The sequence below is a fragment of the Homo sapiens genome, chromosome 10, assembly GCF_000001405.40.
Source record: "Homo sapiens chromosome 10, GRCh38.p14 Primary Assembly".
NCBI classification, from domain to species: Eukaryota; Metazoa; Chordata; class Mammalia; order Primates; family Hominidae; genus Homo; species Homo sapiens.
In genome coordinates, this window is record NC_000010.11 from 86,729,145 (window position 1) to 86,736,596 (window position 7,452).

Here is a 7,452-nt window from a genome sequence, read left to right on the forward strand (position 1 = left end):
TTGGGCAGTACAAGAGTGTTCCAGAACAAGTCTCTACCCTGACGGAATCTAGAATCTTGAAAGGTGAACAAAGCAACAGATGTGAGCAATTCAAAAGTAGAACAGGACAGTATCCCTCAAGTCCAAAGCATATAAAGTGAAGGCTGGGAGCCTGAGAAGTGCACTGTGGGTCAGGGTGAAAGTTAAGCTTCTGTCTGGCGTCGACACTTGAGTTCCAATGGAAAGGGTCCGACCTTAGTGGAGGAAAAATGTCTTACCCATCCCTCTTTTGCTCTAAGTCTTGCCCTTCCCCACTGGTGTGGGTATCAGGAGGGGATGGGCAGTAATATAACTTTTGTAGGCAGACCTAGGGGCTGCTGCAGCTGGCCTAGTTTATTACCCTAACTCTGCTGGGACTTGCAGTCAGCACTGTCCATGGTCGCTACCCTTTTATAGCCAGGCCCTGATGTCACCCAGCCACAGAGCCTGGGGGTTGGACCATCCCTGTTGCCCCCTGTGCTGGGTGGGCAGAAGGCCTCCTCCACTATGAAGCCACCTTGCACCAAGAAGACACTGGGCACAACTCCTTATGAGGGTTCCCACCCTCAGCCCCATCTCACCTATGAGCCATCTTTGAGGTTCTGTCCCTTTCTCATTTGTTGGTCTTCAGTCCCTGGACACCTTCTCTCCCCAGCCTGACTCATCCCAAAGTTCTCACAAGCAACCAGCATTGTCCCAGTCCAGGTATGGTCTCCCACCCACAGCTGCAGTCATTGACAGGCTGACTCATTCCAGAGATGCCTTTCTGTCTTCCCTAAAGCCCATTCTCACCAGTTAGATCTTGGATGTCCATCTTTTTGCATAGTCTTTAAATTGTCACCAGCAGCTTGAGGCCTCCACACGAGCCTGGTTATACTCAGCATCACTGCATCCACCTGGGATGTTTTCAAACACTTTTGCAGCTCATTGGCTCCCAGAACCCAATTGGAAGCCCTGTGTGATCCTAGGTATAACGTCCCCAACTGGACCATCAGAGCCTTGCACATGGGGCTAGCGTGGTGCCCTTTTCCTCTCCAACTCTCTTGGACTGAATACATGCATATTGCCCCAAGCTCAACTCAAGGGGGTGATTTCTCTGTCTCCATGGGGGATACCTGTATGTGGGGACTCCACGTGCACTCCTCTTGATGTCAGTGTCCTGGAGATGGCTCCCAATTCTGCCCCCCAGCAGGGATCTTCACTGCCCTCTCCTAAGCTGGGACCCATGCCAGCCAATGTGATTTCCTGGCAGACTCTGACCTACTGGCATATTGCCAACCCAGGGCCCAGCTTACATACTAGTAGTCCAGCAAACTCAGAGGGCTACATCTGTACAAACCCATGAACCCAGATCAATTTCAAGTAAACACAGTCCCTTTCTTCTATGGGGTAGGGGAAAAATTAGCATAGAACTGGAGTCTTACAGACATGGACAGAGATTCCCAGCCTACAACTTACTAGGTCTGTGACTTAAGGAAGACGTATGGGCCCTCTGAGCCCCAGTTTTTTCAGCTGTGAAGTGGGAGAAAGGCTTACCTACCTTATAAGGTTTTCATGAGAATTAAATGAGCTGCTGTATATAGAGTGTCTGGCATCCTGCTTGGTCCATGGTAGTCCCCACAAATATTAATTAGTTCTCTTCTTTCTGGGATGCCTCCAGCCTCAGACTATATGTTGTCATCATGGGGATATAGAATTTCATCTCTTGGGCTGGGCGTGGTGGCTCACGCCTGTAATCCCAGCACTTTGGGAGGCCAAAGCAGGTGGATTGCTTGGGGTCAGGAGTTTGAAACCAGCCTGGCCAACATGGTGAAACCCTGTCTCTACTAAACTACAAAAAAAATTAGCTGAGTATGGTGGTGGGCGCCTGTAATCCCAGCTACTAGGGAGGCTGAGGCAGGAGAATTGCTTGAACCCGGGAGGCAGAGGTTGCAGTGAGCTGAGATCGCGCCACTGCACTCCAGCCTGGGTGACAGAGTGAGACTCCATCTCAAAAAAAAAAAAAAGAATTTCATCTCTTTTGTTTTTTTGTATATTTCTCTGCATACTTTTCCATATCTACCTTTTTTTTTTTTTTTTTGAGACGGAATCTCGCTCTGTCGCCCAGGCTTGGGTACAGTGGCATGATCTCAGCTCACTGAAACCTCCGTCTTCCGGGTTCAAGTGATTCTCCTGCCTCAGCCTCCTGAGTAGCTGGGATTACCAGTGCGCACCACCACACCCGGCTAATTTTTGTATTTTTAGTAGAGACAAGGTTTCACCATGTTGGTCAGGCTGATCTCAAACTCCTGATCTCGTGGTCCTCCTGCCTCGGCCTTCCAAAATGCTGGGATTGCAGGCGTGAGCCACCATGCCTGGCCCATCTCTCTTTTTAAATGGTGGCATTCCATTGGAAAAATACACCATGAAAATTTACTGAATCATCTTCCTATTGAGAGAAATTTTACTAGTTTTCAGTTTCTAGTTGAGCACAGGTTGTTTTGTTGTTCTGCAGAGTTGCTTCTGCAGGATAAAATTCTCTAGCGTGGCATTACTGGGTTACAGGGTAGTCACATCTCAATGGTTCTTGTTCAACATGGCCAGATTCCCTATGGAACACTGAGCTCACTCACATGTCTCTAGCAGTGCACGAGTAGGCCTTGTTCCTTTTTGGCATTGCTGATTTTTGATTGAATACTTTTTTTTTTTTTAAGCTTTTTGGCTACAGGCATATTAGGTTAAAGGTGACAGGCCATTGAGGTTTTTTTGTTTTATTTGTCTTGCTAGATTAATATGTGTCTAGTGGTATCTCAGGGCAGTTTTTCTTGTAATTTTTTTAACTAATTTTCTTTTCTTTCTTTCTTTTTCTTTTTTTTTTTTTTTGGTAGAGACAGAGGCTCACTATGTTGCCCAGGCTGGTCTCAAACACCTGGCCTCAAACGATCCTCCTGCCTTGGCCTTCCAAAGTGTAGGGATTACAGGCATCAGCTACTGCGCCTGGAGTCAGGGGAGTTTTAATTTGCTTTTTCTTTAATTATTAGTGAGTACAATCTTCTCTGATGTGTTTGTTAGTTTACTAATGATTTTCTTTAGACGTGAATCCTCTCTGTGGTATATTGACTTGTGAACTTGTATTGACTCTATTCATGCTATTTTAGATAGCATGAATTGGTCAGCTTCATAGTGTATATTTTCTCTATTCCATTAAATTTAATTAATTTCATTTGATTTTATTCTGTTCTTCAGGAATCTTAGTTTTTATATAGTCCAACTCATGTACTCTGCTTCCGTCATTAAGAATTCATAGTGGGAGAAATAGGCTGTTGCCTTTTCTCTAGAATGCATGGGGCAAGGCTGTTTGTTTGTTTGTTTGTTTGCTTTAGACAGTCTTGCTATGTTGCCCAGGCTGGAGTGCAGTGGCACAATCACAGCTCACTGCAACCTCTGTCTCCCGGGTTCAAGAGATTCTTCTGCCTCAACCTCCCGAGTAGCTGGGATTACAGGCACATGGCAACATGCCCCTGGCTAATTTTTGTATTTTTAGTAGAGATGGAGTTTCGCCATGTTGGCCAGGCTGGTCTTGGACTCCTGACCTCAAGTGATCTGCCTGCCTTGGCCTTCCAAAGTGCTGGGATTACAGGACTGAGCCACCACGCCTGGCCAGGGCGTTTTCTTAAAAAAGTGATTGAAATCTGCTCATGCCCTGTGCCACGTGGGTCTCACGCAGGTCTGTTCTCTGCTCCAGGTCTGCCATGTGAATCTGGAGGGGCAGCCGTTCTACTCCAAGAAGGACAGACCCCTGTGCAAGAAGCACGCACACACCATCAACTTGTAGGCGGCCAAGGCCGCCTGTGCTGACGAGGCCCGGAGCTGCTCCTGCTGCTGGCAACAAAGGATTCGGGAGGCTGATGTTTCTTCTGAGGGGAATGGGGAGAGAGAGGAAGCGACTGAGCCCTTTGGAAGTATAATTTTAGGTTTTTTCTTCTGTACACAGATCGTGCATTTGCATAGTTCAGACTAGGAGCCAAATGAAGACTCAAAACCAAGCTAGTTATTAATCCAAGACTGGAATTGTACTTCAGACATTTAGAGCAGAATTCCAAGAACTCAAAAGTGAAAAGCAACAAGCAGCTTTCCCAAAGCGATACACTTGCTTTGGTCACCAGAGGAGGACAGAGCTTAGAGCAGCTGTGGAGAATCTGAAGCATTCTGCGGAGTTCTTAAGCGCTCCCCTGGCAAACAAATTGAAGTGCCAAACAGCACTCGCTGCAGGGTATTTTTAGAGTCATAGCTGAGAGCTTGTTAGCTAAGACCCATTGGGCTTTCCTCACCAAAAAAGGAAGTGTTATTCCATTACTAGCGTCATGGAGCTACCTCTGCGCATCAGACTTCAGACCTTGAACAAACTTAAAACCTTCTTGGGAGCCCGGACGTCCAAAGAGATGTCTTCTGGGAGCCACTGGGCAATTGCCAGGGCTCCAGGAAGGGCTCTGGCTCAGGTTGCAGACAGCTGAGAAAAGATGGCCCTGTCAGCCACCCTCTCTCAGTCTGAAACATCCAACATCCCCAGAAGGCTTAGCTCCTTTTTGAATTGTGATGGGAAAGTAGAGTTGGGTTTTTCCAGTTTTGCTCTGTGGTGTGTGAGAGATTTTTTTAAAGGCTTTGGGTTGTCTTTGGCCTTTGTTTAGCTTTAAGGGTTCGTTAGCATGAGTGTCCAGTCGTGTGCATGAATTTCACCCCAACTTGTGACTGCTCACTTATGACGTCTCCCCCAGTACCCTCCATCTCAAATAGGCTTGGTGGCCTGTGGAAAAGAAGAGAGACAGAGAGACAGTGTCTGAAACAGGATGGCAGAATAGGCTCACATGCCCAAACTCTGGGTGGGGAAGAGGAAACTTACTTTCTGCCACCCTCAGTAAGAACACACGAGGAGGCAGGACCTCCCACCTTCAGGTCTGCATCATCCTTTTCAAATGTTCCTTTAAATGCAGCACACTGAGTTTGTACAATTGTGTTAACTGCTGGAAGGGACAGATGCACTGATATATATGCATTTGCTGTTTTGGCCAATATTTTGAAAATGTATGAGCTGAGTTGATCTAGCTATTATTTAAGTATTTATTGAAGTAGAGGGGCCTTCAAACTACTTTATACTAGTGATAGTTTGAGTTAGGTAAGCATCTTAAAGCTGTTTGGTGATAAAGAAGGCAGCTTAGATTCTGTGGTTGGAAACAGTGTAGTCGCTTCCCTTTTTAGGAAGCCCTGTTAATATGCTCATTGAAAACATGGCATTGAAGCAGGCACTTGCGTGGATGTTTCTCACTTGAGCACGATATTTAGGCTCTCTTCCAACTCACTCTATTCTGTCCTCACTCCTGTTTTGGATTTTTCTCTTTGCATGTTTGAAATGTTTTATGGGAATGTATTAGAACTCTTTTCTTCTAAGGACTGAGACTTCCAGGGGATTGCCATCTTACCTGTCTCTTCTCCATGAGGGAGAAGGAAGCAGCTAGCTATGTCCCTAGCTGCAGGAAGCCCCTATTTTTTCCAAGCACGAAGCCACCAGTCTCCCCCAGGGAGCATCAGGAAGGGACATGGATGTGCTCCTGCCACAGGGCCCTTCCTACCTTTGGATCTGTGAGAAGGTGAATACAAAGCAGCAGGCAGAGTAAAATCTGCTGGGACTGCCTGGAGATTTGTCAGGAGCTGCAGACAAGTACCTTGGAGCATTCTGTTATTTTTGGAAAGTTCAAATATGCAGGGACAAGGAGGTTGCTGACTGTACTGACAGGCTCTAAGTCATTTTCTCCAAAAACTATCTATTCAATTATCAGGGGCTGGTCTTGAGGAAGGAAAAAAAAAAAAAAACGTTCCCAGAATTCAGTTTCCAAAATCTCTTTTTAAAGGGTTTACACACACACACACACACACACACACACACACACACACACACACACACGATCATTAAAAAGTGTATGCTCTTTAAGAAGAAAAGTAAAATATCTCAAAGGACGGTTTCACCACCGTCCTTTATTGAATCAATTTTTCTACATTTCAGAGCAAGTGTAGATTCTGAGGGACTCCTATTTGCCAAAAAGACAAAACTAGCAAAAAAAAAACAAAAAAACAAAAAAAAAACCACTTAAAAGGTAGCAGGAAAAGAAGGTAGTTTTGAGTGTGGTTCACTCAGTGTCTGTGAGTCTGGTGTAGTGTCAGGAGTAAGGCCGTGTCTAGCTCAAGTTTACATTTGGATGTCCTACAACACTAAACAAAATTTTTCATAATCCATGGTGGGGAGCACACTTTGGAGCTACATTTCTTGTCTCCTCATTGTTGACATTAATTAAACATTTATAGGCCAGGCACAGTGGCTCACGCCTGTTATCCCAGCACTTTGGGAGGCCGAGGCAGGTGAATCACCTGAGGTCAGGAGTTTGAAACCAGCCTGGCCAATATGGTGAAACCCCATCTCTACTAAAAATACACAAAATTAGCCAGGTGTGGTGGCAGGCGCCTGTAGTTCCAGCTACTTGGGAGGCTGAGGCAGGAATCTCCTGAATCCTGGAGGCGGAGGTTGCAGTGAGCCGAGATTATGCCATTGCACTCCAGCCTGGGCAACAGGAGCGAAACTCCGTTGCAAAAAAAAAAAAAAAAAAAAAATTATAATCACAACTTTTTGCAATGGAGTGACTTATATCTGCAGCTTATATCTGCAGTGTTTGTGTTAGGAACCTAGCTTTTATAATGTGTTAACTTTTTAACTCAGTATTCTGGCTTTGGGATTTTTTGTTTTGTTTTTGGAAACATTTCAGAAGTGGAATGTAGCCTGTTAAAGGTGTGCACAAAAATATTTTGCATGTGTTTTTTTTTTTGCCTGTGTGAATTCTACTTTTTAGCAAAAATAAAGCCCCCCAAAGGATGTGCAAATACAGATTTTTCTGTGTAAAATTTTTCATGTCACATCAGAAGTAGCTTACTTCTATATGGCCACAAATAAAAGTTGGAGACAAAACAAAACATTCTGTGGGAATAAACACAACTTGCTTGCCCTGATGCTCAATAGCAGTGTAATCACCATGTTTAAACAGACAAGGATATGTGAATAACACGAATGTTCTGCATACAAAGGGAATTACCAGGCAAATAATAAACCAAAGACCTCATCTCGCATTATATTTCCATAAAGGTTTGTTAACTTAGCTACTTGGCGGTAAAATATTTCCAATTAATTTATTTCTATTCTGCTCTAAATGGCTTCATTTCTAGAAAAGTTGCCATATTTCCTCTTACATCATTTGTTTTCAAATAAGTTCAGAGTAAAGACCTCTCATAGAATTTTTTTTTCTTTTTAATAATGAAGACCCTTCTGAGGGTACTATGTTTAACAAAATCAAACTCATTCTTTTTCAAGGTATTCTGTTTCTAGAAATTACTGAAGAGTAAAGGGAAGTTGTA

General features: G+C 44.5%; 1 protein-coding gene across 6 annotated transcripts in view; it reads left to right on the top strand.

The window, feature by feature from the left end:
• Nucleotides 1-6,928, top strand: part of LDB3 (LIM domain binding 3) — a 69,285-nt gene extending 62,357 nt beyond the window's left edge. For all 6 annotated transcript variants that reach the window (NM_001368064.1, NM_001171610.2, NM_007078.3 and 3 more), the window contains one exon: nucleotides 3,743-6,928. In NM_001368064.1, coding sequence (NP_001354993.1) covers nucleotides 3,743-3,832 — 90 coding nt within the window. In that variant the 3' untranslated portion in view covers nucleotides 3,833-6,928. The remainder of the gene's footprint in view (nucleotides 1-3,742) is intronic.